We start from the raw sequence: 18522 nt of genomic DNA, 5'->3' as shown, positions 1-18522 counted from the left end.
TATTTTTTGTAGATATGGGGTTACACCATGTTGCCCAGGCTGGTCTTGAACTCATGAGCTCAAGCAATCCACCTGCCTCGGCCTCCCAAAGTGTTGGGATTTATAGGAGTGAGCCACTGCGCCTGGTGTGCCTTACTATTTTAGAGATTTTAAAAAATCTGTTTTGTTTTGTTTTGTTTTGTTTTTTTGAGACGGAGTCTAGCTCTGTCCCATGCTGGAGTGCAGTGGTGGGATCTTGGCTCACTGTAATCTCCGCCTCCCAGGTTCAAGCTATTCTCCTGCCTCAGCCTCCAGAGTAGCTGGGATTACAGGCACGTGCCACCACACCTGGCTAATTTTTGTATTTTTAGTAGAGACGGGGTTTCACCATGTTGGCCACGCTGGTCTCGAACTCCTGACCTCGTGATCCACCTGCCTCAGCCTCCCATAGTGCTGGGATTACAGGTATGAGCCACCATGCCTGGCCAAATTTCTGTTTTTCAAAGATGGAATACATTGCCTTATAAGGAGTGGGGTCCCCATCACCAAGGTATCCAACAAGTAAGGTAGGCATGTTGCAGAGGGCGTTTCAGCATCAGCCAAGGGACTAGATGTGATCTGGTTTCTTCCAGCCCAGGGTTCTTGCCTTTCATTGCATATTAGAAGTTTCCATAAATGTCTGGAGATACCAACTTTGTTAACTCCAGATTGGTAAGTTCTGATTTTTAAGAGTCCAGACCTCTTGTATTGATTTGTATAATCTGCTGCCATTTTAGCCCTCTGTGCCTCAAAATGAAACAATTCTGGTGAGATTGGAAGGGAGATGGGAATTAATATAATTAATGTGAAAGAGAAATACAGTTTGGAATAACTGACTTACACAGATCACAAAACAGATAGGAAGCAAACCAGGACTTGATTCTGTTCTCCAGACTTGAGCTCCCAAGTCCTCCTTTTAATCACATCACTCTTGTGTCCAAACACTGGACCGTGAGGGGAGTGAAGCACCTGACTGCCATTGCCATTCTCGGTCCAGAGGTTTTCACAACTCATTTGTTTAGTGTTAGGGGTTGAACTGTGCCCCCCTAAAATCCGTATGTTGAAGTCCTAACCCCTAGTACCTCAGAATGTGATTGTATTCAGAAACAGGGTCATTACAGACAAATAGTTAAGATGAGGTCATTAGGGTGGGCCCTAATCCCAGACGACTGGTATTCTTAGAAAAAGAGCAGTTGGGCAGGATGCAGTGGCTCATGCCAGCAATCCCAGTGACTCAGGAGACTGAGGCCGGAAGATCACCCAAGCCCAGGAGTTCGCAGCTACAGTGAGCTGTGACCACGCCACTGCACTACAGACTGGGTGACAGAGAGAGACCCTGTCTCAAAAAAAAAAAAAGAAAAGAAAAGAAAAAGAAAAAGGGGCTGGGCGCGGTGGCTCGCACCTGTAATCCTAGCACTTAGGGAGGCTGAGGCAGGAGGATCACCTGAGGTCGGGAGTTTGAGACCAGCCTGGCCAACATGGTGAAACCCCCTCTCTAGTAAAAATACAAAAATTAGCTGGGTGTGATGGTACAAACCTGTAATCCCAGCTACTCGGGAGGCTGAGACAGGAGAATCACTTGAACCCAGAAGGCAGAGGTTGCAGAGAGCCGAAATCACGCCATTGCACTCCAGCCTGGGCCACAAGAACGAGACTCTGCCTCAAAAATAAGGGCAGTTTGGACATAGACACACACATACACAGGGGAAACTCCATGTGAAGCGACACATGGAGAAGATGGCCATCCCCAGCCAAGGAGAAAGGCCTGGAGCAGCCTCAGAAGGAACCCATCCTGCTGACACCTAGATCTTGGACTTCTAGCCACCAGAACTGTGAGACAATCAATTTCTGTTGTTTAAGCCACTCAGCATGTGGTACTTTGTCATAGTGGCCCCAGGAAACGAATACATTTGGTGATTGAGGAAACATTCACTGAGTGCCAGTGTACTGGGCCCAGCAAGAGGAATCAGACACGTGGCCCAGAGTGCTATCTGGCAGGGGAGACAGGACAGGGAGCAGAGCAGTCACTGCCAGGGGCAGAACAAGTCATCAAGGTCATCCAGCGAGAAATCCAGGGAAGGAAGCCTCCTGCCTGCCAGGCTGTCTGGGGCTAATGCGTTTGCTCTGGTTCTTGAACACTGGGATGGATTTTGCTGGTGCAGGTAGGGAAAGAGACAGAGGAGGTAGCATGAACAAAGTCAAAGTGCGACAAGGTGCAGATGGCCAGCTAAGGCATGTGGGGACCATGTGAAAAGAAGGCTGGAAGGTGGATTGAGAGCAGGTTGGTGGGGGAACGATGCCAGGAGTGCTCTGCAGGCCCTGGGAAGTCACAGAAAGTTCCTGAGCTAGGAGCTGCTGAGAGCACCAGCTGTGTGGTCACTTGAGCAGTGGTGGAGAACAAGCTGGGGGTGGCGGGCCGGCACTGAGGGCTCTCAGGTGGTCAGTAATGCAGACCCAGGAGAAGCTGTCAGTGGGAACTTGGATTTCCTCAGCCTCATTTCTTTTGTCTTCCACTTGCTGAAAACACCTGCATTGTGAAGAGCTCTAGGTTTCAGAAATTCCCATCCACTGAGACAAGCTTTGCCTAAATGGAGTGGTCCTAGCAGTCCTGTTAGCTGCCTCACCCCCAGCCTTTCCCAAGAGTAGCATTAAGCAGGCAGGGAAAGAAGTCACCCTTGATCTGCACTCTGGGACCTTGCAAGTGACCCTGAGCCTCAGTTCCCTTGTCTGAAAGATGGGGTCAGACATCTTTGAACAAGACAAGAATGTGCAAGAGCCTGTAAAGTGCAGTGAGCCACGGACACATCAGGGGCCATCACTCCCTTTGTCAGAAGCAGGGCTCAGGCAGTTCAGTGGCTGGTCAGGACTGAGCTTGGCAGGATGGTTGTAGGTAGGATCTGGACAGGTAGCTGTCGGGGGAACTAGGTGGCTACAGAAGCAGGAAACAATGGCCCCATGTTCCAGCAGGAAGGGAGCCTAAGGGCAGATCGGGCCCTGACCAAGTCACTGGAATGGACAAAGCCAGGGCTGGATGGGAATTCCCATTCTTGGGGCTGGCAGGTCCCTTCACCCACTGTCAGACTCCCCAGCGCCAGGTCACTCACTCTGCGCAGATGCTGGCTTCTGACCCACACATTGCTACTGTGACTCCCAGGTGCAGCTGATCTAGCACCAGCTATGCAGAACCACTTCCAGGGATTTCTTGTGTGCTCAGGCCCTGGCTGGATGCACGCTAGTGCAGTCTATCACCGACAGAGGCCCATGGCATAGGCTGTCCCCAGCTCTTCTTAAGTTACTCCTCATGGGTATCCTGCCCTGTCATGCTTATCGACTCAGAGAGTGGGCAGGGCTCTCACAATTTATAAATGAGAAAACTGAGCTCCAAGAAGCAAAGGGTCTTTTGCAAGTTCTCTAAGATGGTATATGACAGGGCTGCCTCCCACAGTGTGAAATTATCATAAGAGTTGTAGTTGTAAGTATTTTTTTTTTTTTTTTTGAGATGGAATTAACTTTTGCTGCCCAGGCTGGAGTGCAGTGATGTAATCTTGGCTCACTGCAACCTCTGTCTCCTGGGTTCAAGTGATTCTTCTGCCTCAGCCCCCCAAGTAGCTGGGATTACAGGCACCCACCACCATGCCTGGCTAATTTTTTGTATTTTTAGTAGACACGGGGTTTTACCCTGTTGGCCAGGCTGGTTTCGAACTCCTGATCTCAGGTGATCCACCCACCTCAGCCTCCCAAAGTGCTGGGATCACAGGCGTGAGACACCATGCCCAGCCAGTTGTATTTACAGTGCTCGCTGTTTGCCTGTGTCCCTAAGCATTTTATGGTTCCAACTCTGACAACTAGTTCTGTTCACGCCCTGTCCTGAACCTTTGGAACCAATGAGTCTTGTTAGCTAGTGTCTACTTTGCTCCCTGCTTTGGACTAAGGGAGAAATAAGTCCACTGACTTTCTCATCAGAACTGAGCCAGGAGCAAGGGCCCTAGGGAGGGATATATGGCAACATACAGCAGCTTTGGGTTTGGGCAGAGCTGGGTTTGGATCCCAGCCTGGTCATCATTACTAGCTACATGACATTGGATAGGGCACTTCACCTCTAAATCCTTCAGTTTCCACATCCATAAAAGGGGATTATAGGTTATTTTTCAGGGAAGTTGAAGACTAAATTCCTCTCAGTAAATGGCCATCAATGGCAGATGTATGTACTAACCTGCATCTGTAATGCTACTAGATGACTGACTAGTCTGGCCAACTTATGTATATACCTGTGGCAATTTCTGGAAGACACCTCCTTCACTGAAAGTGCAGCACTCATCTGGCCCCATGCTACTGGTCTATCCTTTTCAATTCCATCAGCCTAAACATAGCTCTGACATTTTCTACTAGCCCAAACCCTTACCTACTCCTTCAGAGGGTAACTGGGAGTAACGGCATGAAATACAATTAGTATTCCTATTGCTGGTTAGGCTCACGGTGAACCACATGCAGATTTGTACAGCTGAAACAACCTGCAGGCTCACTTAGCTTGGGCCTCGGAGTTTCAGTTGAGGAACTGGAGGCTCAGAGGGGAAGTGACAGAGGGGAGCAAATACCATTCAGTGGCCAGGTTGGGGCTAGAATATGATCTCTAGATTCTGTTTGAGGCCTCCCTCCCCATACCTCCACTCTTCCTCTGCCAGGGCTGGCGCTGGGGAGTGCTGTCTTAAACACAGAGACCCCAGGCCCCTCCTGGCCAGGGGTCAAGTCCCCTTAATCAGAAATAGAGTTAACTCTGGCCAGGTGCAGTGGCTCATGCCTGTAATCCCAGCACTTTGGGAGTTCAAGTCAGGAGGATCACTTGAGCCCAGGGGTTTGAAACCAGCCTGTGCAACATAGTGAGACCTCATCGCTACCAAAAATATTTAGCCAGGCATGGTGGCACGCACCTATAGTCCCAGTTACTCAGCTGAGGTGGGAGGATTGTTTGTGCCCAGGTCGAGCATGCAGTGAACCATGATTGTGCCAGTGTATTCCAGCTTGGGTGACAGAGTCAGACCGTCTCCAACAACAAAAAGCAATAGAATAAGGGTATTTTCTCCATATGCCCTCCCAACACCCCTGGGACAAGTTATAAAATACCCACTTGATCAGAGATTATTAAGCTGACCTAATTGGCTCTGAGGACTTCCACACTCACTGCAATCTTGGTGATTTTCCTGCAGAGCAACTGTTTGGCTGGCTGCAGCTTAAGTCTACTAGTAACTTGATTCCCTTTCCAAACTGTCAACACGGCGGTATCATCAGGCTCATTAAAATTGATGGCAGCACAATGCAACAGAGCTGGAGAAAACTGGAAGGTCATAGCATAGTGTACAACCACTTTGTGCTTCTGTCTCACCTTTCTCTGGCGATGGGGTAGGTAGTGTAGCCCAGATAGGAATGCCAGGAACAGGACGACTCAACTCTCCTGTATCTGTCCTGGAGTATGTACCAGGAGTCCTGGTGGTGGTGATACAGGAGCGGGTAGGGTGCAGTATCTTACACAAGGTGGTTTGTGCATTTCCACGCTGGCCACTATCATTCTTCAGGTGCTGGACTCCTGAAAGAGGAGTGAACTAAAGGTAAGAGCAGAGGTTGAAAACAGGGCGCCATGGACCGGGCACAGTGGCTCACACCTGTAATTCTGGCACTTTGGGAGGCCAAGGTGGGTGGATCACCTGAGGTCAGGAGAGTTCAAGACCAGCCTGACCAGTATGTTGAAACCTCGTCTCTACTAAAAATACAAAAATTAGCCAGGCGTGGTGGCGGGCGCCTGTAGTCCCAGCTACTCGGGAGGCTGAGACAGGAGAATTGCTTGAACCCAGGAGGCGGAGGTTGCAGTGAGCCAAGATTGTGCCACTACATGTCAGCCTGGGCGACAGCGAAGACTCCCATCTCAAAAAAAAAAAAAAAAGAAAAAAGAAAATAGCTTCAAAAAGATGGCATACCAATGTATCACACATGTAGGTGTGTATGTAGAACACACCTCCACCAACCTCGGAGCAGCTAGTCAGGACCAGTCATCTAGCCCATCATAGCTGCCACCCAGCTCAGACATTTTATAACTAAACTTACTGCAGAAGCTGGAAGCAAACCCTCTCAATGTTCTCCTTCAGATGGGAGACAACTCCAAAAATAGTCTGCTGTGTGACCTCATCACCAAACAGCTTGCTTCTCTGAGGACCATGTCAAAGGCATCTTCACTGGCCACATACAGGTGACATCAATATTTTACTATAATGCACAAAAAGGCTTTGACCTTCAAGGCCCCCTACAAGAGCCCAAATGACTTGTCCAGTATTATCATCTATTCATGTGTTGTCAAATCTACTTGTATCTAACTGTACTCAGCAGTTTCCTACCTTTAACCTCTGCTCACCAAGATACTCCCTTCTCTCTCTATTCCTATTTATAGACGCTATTCACACTTGCATGTGCAGCTGAAGTACTTTCTTTTCTAAGAAGCTTCCCTCCCTCCAGGTTGGGTGCCATCTCTCCAGCCTCTGAGCTACACTAAAACTTACCTAAACCTCTTGCTCCTAGGTCCTAGTAAATATTACTTGTGTTGATGTCTTTTCTTCCTGACTAGTTACTATGAGCACCAAGGGCTGGCTTGTCTTTTTAACCCAATTCCCTTCCCTTTTGCCCAGCCAATAAGCCTGGCATATCCTACAGGCTTGGTAGATACTGGGAAGTTCTGTAAACTTTAAAAAACAACTAAAAACAACAACAACAACAACAAACCGGGAAAAATAATCACTCAAAGTTACTGTGTTTGATATTTGACAAATAAGCAAAACCTTAAGGACACACTTAGGCTACAGAAGAAACCATTTTACAATGTATTGAAGGTTTGCCAAAATGGCCTTATGGTTGGGGAAAATGATGTGTAATACCTGTAAAATCAGAAATCAAATTTTCTTGGATTTTCTTTGCAAAAAAGAAACTCCATTTTAAAGTCTATGGGAGATTTTGATTTTAAAGTACAGTATTTGGGGGCTCCATAGAGACTGTGACTTGTTATAAATTCAAATTAGATTCCAATTTTACATATTGCATTTACATGCATCAAAAACCTCACTCATTCCAGCAGCTATAAGCTAAAATTTACTGAAACAATCCTTAAATCTTCCACTATAAAAAACTGTATTGATAATGCAGTCATACATCTATTTTCGCTAAACGGTTAATCACTGAATACAGACAGAATATCCTCCTTTCTCAAATCCCTTTAAGATCTGTAAGAATAGAGAAAATTTCCATCTTATGGAAAACCTGAGTTGACCTCAGGCAGTGCCTACCCACTGCTTGGTGAGGCTTTTCACATGTCATTCCCCCTTTTCACGCCTGTCTTGGCAACAAACCATACTGTGTTCACCCATCAGTCAAACCCTACATGCTTCAGACTAGTGGAAAGCCCATTTTTCTCTTCAGACCTTCCTGTCAGCAAGGGTCACAGAACATCAGTGCTACAAGTGACTTCAGAAGCCATTTGGTCACACCCCTTCAATTTTCCAGACTGGGTGGTGACCCAGAGTCAACACAAGGTCACACAGAAAATCAGTGGCAGAGCCAGAACTAGAATTCAGATCTCTTGGGATTCTGGTGAAGGCCTTTTGCTTTACACTATCTTCTTTCCCTTAATTCACATAATACTTGAACCTAACATTTTACTGGTTTTCAGGGCCCCAGAGTATTCCATTTTGAACGTTATTTTTTAAAGTATGCTTCATTTACTCCCAGTTATCAATGAGGATTTGATCTAAATGCTCAAAGATCCTACACACTTGTGCAATTCCCCTCAACAACTACTAATATAAAAATGCCAAATAAACCAGTTCTTTGGTGTTTTAACATGAGCTTACAATGAGAGTATAATTTAAAAATGTAAGCATACAACTAGGCTTTACCAAAGAGTAACTGTTTATTTCGCTTAAATTCTTAAAAATACTTTTTTGGCAGTTGTCACATAAAATGTCCTAATGTAAAAAAAATAATAATAATAATTAAAAAGCAAAGCATGAAAAAACAGACCCAAAATGTTAAGATTTTATTTACAAAGCTTTTTTGTTGTACAGAAAGTAAAAATGCTGTTACAATCTCAGTGTAACTGGTAGCCACAGACGGTTGACTCACCAATCACAGCTATCCACGCTACAGCAAGAATCTTACACAAAAACCTAACAACGCTTACAATTTTGTTGGGGTGAAGTCCACAAGCTTGGTGGTAGATTACCAAGAGGGACTACATGGAAGGAAGGCGGAATGTCACAGGAACTATTCTTTGGCTCTTTGGGTGGGTGGGTGTCCTGGGGTTTGTATCACAGCTACCTTTTTTTTTTTTTTAAACAGCTACAAAATCCATGAGCAGTCCAACCAATACTGAACAGTTCTGTTTCTGCAGGTCATCTGGGGTCTTAATCATCTTCTCCTTCATCATCTGTTTCTCTCTTCCTCTTTTCACCTTTCCCACCTTCTTCCTCCTCTGTACAGTAACAAAAATTGACTTTAGGACAGTGGAAAGGCATTTTGCTTAGATTATTGCCAATGGAGGCAACAACAACAAAGTTTTTGACAGTTAGGAGATAAAACAATGTAAACTTGATCAGATTAATATAGGTGACTAATAGCAAGTATAAGTGGTGACCACAGAACCAAGAAAAGCAAAATGCACAGCAGCACCTCAACTCACCCAGGAAAAGTTAATCCAGTTTCCTCGATTTTAAGGTGTTGTCTTCCAAATGTTTCTTTTTACAAATCTAGCAATTATTAAAGTGCTTATTATTAACCTGAGCTGGTCAGGCCCACTGGCTCATGCCTATAATCCCAGCACTTTGGGAGGCCAAGGCAGGCAGATCACCTGAGGTCAGGAGTTCCAGACCACCCTGGCCAACATGGTGAAACTCCGTCTCTACTAAAAATACAAAAATGAGCCAGGCATGGTGGCATGTACCTGTAATCCCAGCTACTCTGGATGATGAGGCATGAGAATTGCTTGAATCCGGAAGGCGGAGGTTGCAGTGAGCTGAGATTGTGCCACTGGACTCCAGCCTGGGTGATAAGAGCGAAACTGTCTCCAAAAAAACAAAACAAAACCCCTCGTGCTATCTAGCACGTCTTCAAGACATGCTTACTTTCAAGTGATCTCAGACAAGCTTAACCTCTTTAAGCCTTTTTCATCTGTAAAATGGGGACAATGGTACTGACTTTAAAAGGTTATTCTGAGAATTAAATAACACACAAAACATAGTATGGAACATCATTAAGACTCAAATTGTAGCAAACTAATATTAACTAAAAAGGAAATTCTTAAGAGTATTATGTAGTCGAGACACAGAGACTTACATATAGACCAATTTTTTCAACTAATAAAATCCATGGTTATTTTAATGAAATTAACTATATGTTAAATCATATTTCATACAGGTTGTTTTTTTTTTTGAGACAGACTCTGGCTCCGTCGCCCAGGCTGGAGTGCAGTGGCTTGATCTCGGCTCACTGCAAGCTCCGCCTCCCGGGTTCATGCCGTTCTCCTGACTCAGCCTCCCGAGTAGCTGGGACTACAGGCGCCTGCCACCACACCCGGCTAATTTTTTTGTATTTTTAGTAGAGACGGGGTTTCACCGTGTTAGCCAGGATGGTCTCGATCTCCTGACCTCATGATCCACCCGCCTCGGCCTCCCAATCATACAGGTTCTTAAAGGCAGTGACCAGGTCCTAACCAGGGTAATATCTAGTGTAAATGTAATTGAGAGCTTGACAAAGTGGATGCTGAGAAAACATCAGCCAACAGCACAGTGAACACCTGATTTTCTGAGACACAACCATGAGACTTTTTATTTGAGACAAGGTCTCCCTCTGTCACTCAGGCTGGAGTGCGGTGGCACTATCATAGCCTCACTGCAACTTCAAGCAGTCCTCCCACCTCAGCTTCCCAAGTAGCTGGGACTATAGGTGTGCACCACCATGTGCAGCTAACTTTTTTTTTTTTTTGAGACAGAGTCTTGCTCTGTTGTCCAGGCTGCAGTGCAGTGGCATGACCTCAGCTCACTGAATCTCTGCCTCCTGGGTTTGAGTGCGTGCCACCACGCCTGACTAATTTTTTAATTTTTAGTAGAGACAGGATTTTACCATGTTGGCCAGGCTGCTCTCGAACTCCTGACCTCAGGTGATCCACCTGCCTCGGCCTCCTAAAGTGCTGAGATAACAGGCGTGAGTCACCACACCCGGTCCCAGCTAACTTTTTAATTTTCTGTACAGACAGGGTCTATGTTGTCCAGGCTGGCATACTTTCAACAGTATTAAATAAGTAACAGCTATTTCATTTGTCTTGGTTGTAGTGGGGAAAGGACTAACACTGACAAAACTGGGAAACTGCTACATCTATTTATATATCCTGAAAATGATGGTTCAATTATTAAAGCCTTTTTTTAAAAAATGAAAGAACTCCAAACACAGAAACTCACACTTGACAGTAAACCAAATGACTGGTCCTAAAAACACATTTAAAACATGGGGAACAGGCTAGGCATGGTGGCTCACACCTGTAATCCGAGTAATTTGGGAGGCCGAGGTGGGTGGATCACTTGAATTCAGCCAGGAATTCAAGACCAGGCTGGCCAACATGGCAAAACCCTGTCTCTACTAAAAATACAAAAATTAGCCAAGTGTGGTGGTGCATGCCTGTAATCCCAGCTACTGAGGAGGCTGAGGCAGAGAATCCCTTGAACCTGGGAGGTGGAGGCTGCAGTGAGCTTAGATTGCACCAGTGAACTCCAGACTGGGCGACAGAGCAAGACTCCATCTCAAGAAAACAACAGGCCGGGTGTGGTGGCTCACGCCTGTAATCCCGGCACTTTGGGAGGCTGAGGCGGGTGGACCACGAGGTCAGGAGATTGAGACCATCCTGGCTAACACGGTGAAACCCCGTCTCTACTAAAAATGCAAACAATTAGCTGGGCGTGGTGGCAGGCGCCTGTAGCCCCAGCTACTCTGGAGGCTGAGGCAGGAGAATGGCTTGAACCTAGGAGGCGGAACTTGCAGTGAGCCGAGATCGTGCCACTGCACTCCAGCCTGGGCAACAGAGCGAGATTCCGTCTCAAAACACCACCACCACCACCACCACCCCGAAAAAAACCCCATGAGGACTGAAGACCAACAGGACCCTTGCCATGAGACAGGAATAACTGCTGTAGCAGCAGGGAGCCTGCACCAGCACAGACACACTGATGGGACGATAGAAACGAGAATGTGAATGTGTAAACCACCAGAGCCAAGAGTATTTTATTTTCTTCTCAGTGGTATCATATTCTAAATAATGGATGTTTTTCTCTAATTTTTAACTGAGAATGATCAAAATGCATGCATTAGGCCCACCTTCATCCTCATCCTCATCTTCATCTTCTTCATCAAGTCCAAATTCTTCTTCCTAAAGAATAGCAAACAGCATAACATTAAATTAATTCTGCCAAATTGAAAAGTGCATATAGTACAAATTCTGCCAAACTAAGAAGTACAAATAAATGCAACAATATCAATCAAGCAGGAAACTGTAATGTTATTTTTATCTACTTTGATGTACCAAGACCCACTGATTTTCCTTAACGAGCTTTATAATTTTTCTAAGAAAAATTTTTTTTAGAAGCAAGCAGTTCATTTGCTAGATGTTTAATTAGTATATAACTCTGGATAATTCAAGAAAACATCTTAAAATCTCAAATTTCAAAACAGATTTAGACAAAAATTTCTATATCCCATTCATATACAAAGCTTCTTTCAGAACTTTAATGTCAATCATACACCTAATGACATCACACAAACCCCAAGCCTTATTTTTATACTACAAAAGAGGATGCGTTTTGTTAACAACTAATGTTGTCTGCCTGTTTCCCAAACCTCTTTGAGGGTCAAAGTCAAGACACTGTTTTCTCCTGCCCTCGTATAGCATTTATTTCCTCAGGGATCCTCTATTATTGGGTATTTCATAAACCAGACTGTGCTCTTTCAGGGCAGGACCACAATCTCATTTCATTTTGTACTCCCAACTCTTTAACATAGCAGATATATATTTACTGAATTACACTGAATATACAAGAAAAAGTTTAGACTTGGTAAACATAAACTTCCCTACAATTCAATGAAGGAACAGACATACCATCAATTCTCAACATGTCCAGTTTTCTCACCACACTGAATACTCAATTCATTCCTTCCCCCAGAGGGCCAGAACTTACCTTGCACAGCCAGGAACCGTACTAGTTTGAGTTCAGTAGGCATTCTATTTAGTAGTTATTTAAAGCCAGACAAACACTAAATTAACCAGATTCATATTGTAAATGTATTCACAGGTATACTAATTTCTTCAAAAGGTGTTTTTTCTTTTCTTTTGTCATCTTTTTGAAACCCCCACTTTTGTTGTAATTACAAATAGGAAGCAGGGTAGAAAACAGCTGCACTGACCTCCTCACTGACTTCATCGTCGTCCTCATCCCCTTCTACATCTTCATCTTCATCATCTTCTTCATCAAACTCCTCTTCTTCACCATCCTCATCGTCCTCGTCTTCCTCATCTTCTCCTTCTAAAAATAGTCCAAAAGGGATTCATTAAATATCCTCGACGCTCCACAGGGGACAAAGTGTTGAGGATCTGTGGGCTGGCTCACAGAACAAATGCTGTAAGGCCACGAACTGCAGTCACTTTCTTTCTACTATGTGCTACAGCTCAGTCCCTTTGTCCGATAGAGTCCCATAAAATCAGAGAGCTAGAAGTCCTGGTAGATAAGACAAACACTATAATTCTCGCTGATGAAATGATACAATGGCTAAGATTTGCTTCAAAATTATATGGAGTGGGGAAGAAGGTAAGGGTATGCAGGAATAAAATAAGATCAGCTATGACCAATAATTGCTGAAGCTGAGTGATAAGAACATGGGGGTTCATTTTGCTATTATTTTTACCCTTTGTCACTGTCTGAAATTTTTGACAGTAAAAAGTTAAAAAAAAAAAAATCATGTACCTTCTCTTGGGTATCATTACCAGAGTCACAGTCAGCTGCTCAAATCAGGAACCTGAGAAACACCCATAATAACCCTGTGACTCAGGGGACAGGAGGCTGAGAGGCACCTGCATCTCTAGCTGGTTGTTCGGACCTCTAGTGCGGCAGTTCTTGCTTCTCCTGGGTCCTAGAGCACACCATGCTCTCACCTGCCTCCTGGTCTCTGCATGCTCTTTCCATCCTCTTTGCTTGGCTAACTCTGACTCCACCTTGGAGTCTCAGTCAACATCACTTCCTTAGGCAGTCTTACTCACCAGACCTCCCAATGCCAGGTCATAGGCTCTCACCATGAGTATGTGGTGCTTCTCCATTACAACACACTTTGCTTACTTGCAATTATTATTTAGAATTCTTAATTTAAAACAATTTTTTCTGTACAGATAGGGTTTGTCTATGTTGCCCAGGCTGGTCTTGAACTCCTGGATTCCAGCAATCATCCTGCCTCACCCTCCCCAAGTGTTGGGATTACAAGTGTGAGCCACCATACCTAGCCTATTTATGATTTAAAAAAAAAAAACAAAAAAAAAAAAACACCATTTCTCTGTAAGGTCCAAGAGGGTAGGAACCTTGTTTTTTTGTTCCTTTTTTTTTTAAACCACTATTTTCCGCAGTGCCTGGCACATAGGAAATGCTCAAGTATTTGTTGGCTGACCCATCTTTGCTCTCAGGAACTGCCCCCCACCTTCCAAGGAATGTCCTTTACTGGCTCTTGCACATGTGGCTGTTCTTCCTGTTTGAGGTGAACTTAAATAGACAACAAGCACAAATGGTTTTTAGGAAAAATGGAAAAACTGTAGAAGGGACAAAGGGACATAACATTTGGAAATAAGTGAGATGTCCTATTCTCTGTCCATTTTACCACCTTATAACTCATTAATTTTTGCCTGTCTCAATATGCTTCAAAATAAAACTGTAAAAATGCTTCCAGAGAATTATACCATTAACTGCACCCAAACTCCTTGATGCTTTTCCTCCTCTATTTTCTTGATAATTTCTGTCATATGTGCTAATTTTTAAAGAAAAGAAATACTCATGCTGACTGATGTGAAAACTAATCATTCTGCTTCCTCCAAACCAGGGGTTCCCAACTCCCAGGACTGGTACTGGTCTGTGGCCTGGGCCGCACAGCAGGTGGTGAAGAGCAGGCCAGTGACCATTACCACGTGAACTCCGCCTCCTGTCACATCACCTGTTAGATCCTCATAGGAGTGCAAATTCTATTGTGAACTGCGCATGTGAGGGATCTGGACTGTGCATTCCTTATGAGAATCTAATGCCTGATCTAAGGTGGAACCGTTTCATCCCAAAACCATTCAGCTGCCGCCCCCAACCCCTTCCCTGCATCTGTGGAAAAACTGTCTTCCATGAAACCAGTCCCTGGTGCCAAAAAGGTTGGAGACTGCTGCTCTAAGCCACCTGTACGTGAGAAGCGTTTTATTCTAAGAGTGACTGAGAATAAACAAACTCAGCATGCAAAGAAAACACAAACTAATCAGGAGGAATATCTTGGGTAGAAAGTATTAGTTATTTCTTAAAATCTGTAAATCTGTAAAATATGTATAAATCCTGGGTCAAATGCCAAAACTACTGAAAATCATCTTTTAATTCTATGTTATGATCAGAGATTATTTCCCTTATGAATGAAAAACGGAATCTAACATATAGTTATTTGAAATCATTACCTTTTAAAACTCTGGTCATATGTCAATGGAAGGGAAAGCTATTTTATTTATAGCTGGCAATAACAAACAGGTACCAAGTACCTACTCAGTGTCAGGCCCTGTGAATCAGGAGATAAGTATCTACCCAAGATGATGACTGTAGTGCAGTAGGACAGCGGTCCTCAACCTTTTTGGCACCAGGGACCAGTTTTGTGGAAGACAATGTTTCCACAGCCTGGGGGTGGGGGGATGGTTTCAGGATGATTCAAACGCATTATGTTTATTCTGCACTTTATTTCTATTATTACATTGTAATATATAATGATATAATTATACAACTCATCATAATGTGGAATCAATGGGAACCCTGAGCTTGTTTTCCCTGCAACTAGACAGTCCCATCTGGGGGCAATGAGAGACAGTGACATTCGAAGTGTGTGCTGCTTATGTCCAGTATACTCCATAATCTTGTTTTGGTTGCTGTCACTGCAGAAAACTTTGCTTCACAAAGATAGGATATTGGAAATGGAAGCAGGTTTTTCAGTGCTTTTTTGGCAATCTCAGGATATTCCACCTCGACTTTAATCCAGAATATATGGAGATTTTGAAGTTGTCTCAAACCATACTTTTAAGGCCACTGCCATTTGTGATCTCAACCAGTTGATCCTCTTCAAGCATGAACAAAGTCGATTGACCTGGCTTATTCATAAATGGGTTGTGGATCCATTCCTTCCCAGTTCGGGGGTCTTTTGTGGTTGGGAAGTAATGCTCAAACTCTTTTGAGAGCTGAGATAGGTGATCATGCACCAGCTGTGAGAAAGAAGGCCCTGGCTCACTCTCTTTCAAAAATCACTCCTACTGTTTGAAACATGTCAAAAATCCCAATGCTCAGAACAGAAAACTAAGTATCGTATGTTCTCACTTGTAAGTGGGGGCTGAATGATGAGTATACATGGACACATGGAGGGGAACAACACACACTGGGGCCTGTGGAGGCTGGGGACGGAGAGCATCAGGAAAACTAGCTAATGGACAGTGGGCTTAATACTTAGGTGATGGGATGGTACACGTTTATCTCTGCGACAAACGTGCACATGTACCCCTGAACTTAAAAAAAAAAGTTTTACCACTCATTCTGTGTTACTAAAATGTTCTGCTAGTGGTGACTGTTATTCTTAGAGAAATCTCTGGAGCAGGCCTCTTAACTCAAAAACTCTGGCCAGTGATCCACCTTTAGAACGCCATCTCGCTTCTCTGTGTAAGAGAAGTATTCTCTGCATCCATCTCACAGAACTGCGTGAACAGACATGGGTTAAGGGCATGTACTTTAATGTGGTTAATTTTAATCACATCCTGCAAAACGTTAAGTTCAGGTGACATTTGTCAGCTAGCCAGCATTTCTCTATGGATGACACAGTGCATAGACTCACATCCAGAAGCGACCTCTCTGACTCGAGTAGTGAAACCAGAAAGCCGTCCAGCCATGGCAGCCGCTCCATCTGTGCATATACGACACAAAATGACCAATTCAGTTTTCCTGATATGTAATCGTTCAAAAGACTTGAATAGTTCTGCAGCTGTGGTGCTGGTTGGCAACGAAGTACACATAACATAGTCTCATGCACATCCTCCTGAAAATATATTGCACAAAAACAAGCATTGTTGCCATGTTGTCAACATCGGCAGACTTGTCAACCTGCAATGTGTACCACGGTGACTCATCAATCCTCTCTAACAACTATGCCTCAATATCCTCTACTATGTCATCAATTCATCTAGTTATGGTGCTAGCTCAAAGAGGAACATGTGCCACCTTTTGAACTGCAGCTTAACTGCAGCCTCTCCTAAAAGTTCATGACAAATGTCCTTAGCAGCAGGCAGGATCAACTCTTCAATAGTAAAGGGCTTCTTACTTTAGCAATGCAGTTAGTTAAGGGCTTCTTAGCTTTAGCAATGCAGTTAGCCACTAAGAATGAGATGTTCTCAGTGCAGTCACATTTGATGAAGTGGGAGCTTTCAATAATTGCCTCTGTTTTTCACGTTCATGTTTATTTCTTTTGAAAAACTCCAAAGGCTTGTCTTTTAAACGCAGGGTGCTTGGTCTCCAAGTGGTGAAGCAGTTTTTTTTTTGTTTGTTTGTTTTTTGAGATGGAGTCTTGCTCTATCGCCCAGGCTAAAGCACAGCGGCACAATCTCGGCTCACTGCAACCTCCGCCTCCCAGGTTCAAGCAATTCTCATGCCTCAGCCTCCCGAGAAGCTGGGACTAAAGGTGTGCACCACCATGCCTGGTTAATTTTTGTATTTTTGCAGAGCCAGGGTTTCCCCATGTTGGCCAGGCTGGTCTTGAACTCCTGACCTCAGGTGATCTACCTCGGCCTCTGTAAGTGCTGGGATTACAGGCATGAGCCACTGTGCCCAGCCAGTGAAGTGGTTTTGAAGGTTTCATGGCTTTGTTGGATAGCTTGTTGCCACATATTATACAAAGTGGGCTTGGAGAATGTGAATCATCTGTTGCAATGAACCTGTAATTTAAGTAGCACTCTTGGTATTTTCTTTTCAATGAAGCTTTCTTTTCATTGGCAGTCTTGTCTTCTGCTGTCTCATTATTGGGTCTTTCCCCCTTCTCAAAGAAGCTCTCCAGCGACGTTTTTTACTCATGTTGGATAGTTAGCTTGTGGGCCTAACAAAACTGTGACTGAGACAAATACGCAGTGCGGGAAAGAGGTGTGGATGGAAGTGGTAAATAAAAAAATGGGCAGGCCATGCACTGACTAAAAAAAGCATCAGATTCTGACTTAAAGCCTGTCACCAGATACAGCTGTACAACTGAAGTACACCAACTCACTTGCCACTATAAAGCCTGCCACCAGATGCAGCTTGTCACTTGCCACTCACAGATAGGGGTTGATGAGTCTGCAAGCAATTGATTTATTATCATCTCTGTAAAGTCAAACCTCTTTGCTAATGTTAATCTGTATTTGCAGCCACTCCCCAGTGCTAGCATCACCACCTCAGCTCTAGCATCACCACCTCAGCTCCACCTCGGATCATCAGGCATTAGATTCTTCTAAGGAGCACACAACCTAGCCCCCTCACATGTGCAGTTCACAATAGGATTCTCGTTCCTATGAGAATCTAATACCACCATTGATCTGACAGGAGGTGGAGCCCAGACAGTAATGTGAGCAATGGGGAGTGGCTGTAAATACAGATGAGGCTTCCTCACTGCTCATGCGGCCTGGTTTCTAACAGGTCATGGAGTAGTACCAGTCTGTGGCCTGTGGGTTGAAGACCCCTGAAGTAGGAAGACTTAAGAACAGCAGAGTGGCAAGCCTGTAAGAGCAAGCGGTTTACAGTTTAAACGCACAGCATCCTAACTTAGCTTGTAGACTTCAGGAAATGCTTCCCGGGCCAGGTTCAGTGTCTCATCCCTGTAATCCCACCACTTGGGGAGGCTGAGGTGGGAGGATCCCTTGAGGCCAGGTGCTTATGAAATAGGCCTTAGCTATAAATTTAATGGAATGCCTACATTCAAAAAATACACGCGTGCGCACGCACACAAACACACACTATTTTCCTCAATAGTAAGAACATCTAGTAGCTTTTTTTTTTGAGACACCCTGTCTGTCTTCTGAGACGGAGTGCAGTGGGGAACAATCATGGCTCACTGTAGCCTCAAACTCCTAGGTTCAAGTGATCCTCCCACCTCGGCCTCCAGTCTTCTGAGTAGCTAAGACTCCAGGTGTGCGCCACCACACCTGGCTAA

General features: G+C 44.5%; 1 protein-coding gene across 1 annotated transcript in view, besides 1 other annotated feature; it reads right to left on the bottom strand.

Moving 5' to 3' along the window:
* Nucleotides 1-7944: 7944 nt before the first annotated feature.
* Nucleotides 7945-18522, bottom strand: part of ANP32B (acidic nuclear phosphoprotein 32 family member B) — a 32603-nt gene continuing 22025 nt past the window's right edge. Inside the window, exons 5-7 of the mRNA NM_006401.3 lie at nt 12499-12617; nt 11416-11467; nt 7945-8524 (exon numbers count right to left, since the gene is read on the bottom strand). Coding sequence (NP_006392.1) covers nt 8457-8524; nt 11416-11467; nt 12499-12617 — 239 coding nt within the window. The 3' untranslated portion in view covers nt 7945-8456. The remainder of the gene's footprint in view (nt 8525-11415; nt 11468-12498; nt 12618-18522) is intronic.
* Nucleotides 13010-13079: an enhancer, noted in NCBI's record as "active region_28680". NCBI's record gives its function as "activates an Ori minimal core promoter by ATAC-STARR-seq in GM12878 lymphoblastoid cells {active_cell/tissue: GM12878}" and the evidence as "EXISTENCE:reporter gene assay evidence [ECO:0000049][PMID:35858748]".

Source organism: Homo sapiens, chromosome 9, assembly GCF_000001405.40.
Source record: "Homo sapiens chromosome 9, GRCh38.p14 Primary Assembly".
Lineage (NCBI taxonomy): Eukaryota > Metazoa > Chordata > Mammalia > Primates > Hominidae > Homo > Homo sapiens.
Note: the sequence above shows the minus strand (reverse complement) of the source record. Positions and strands in the feature narration are given on the sequence as shown.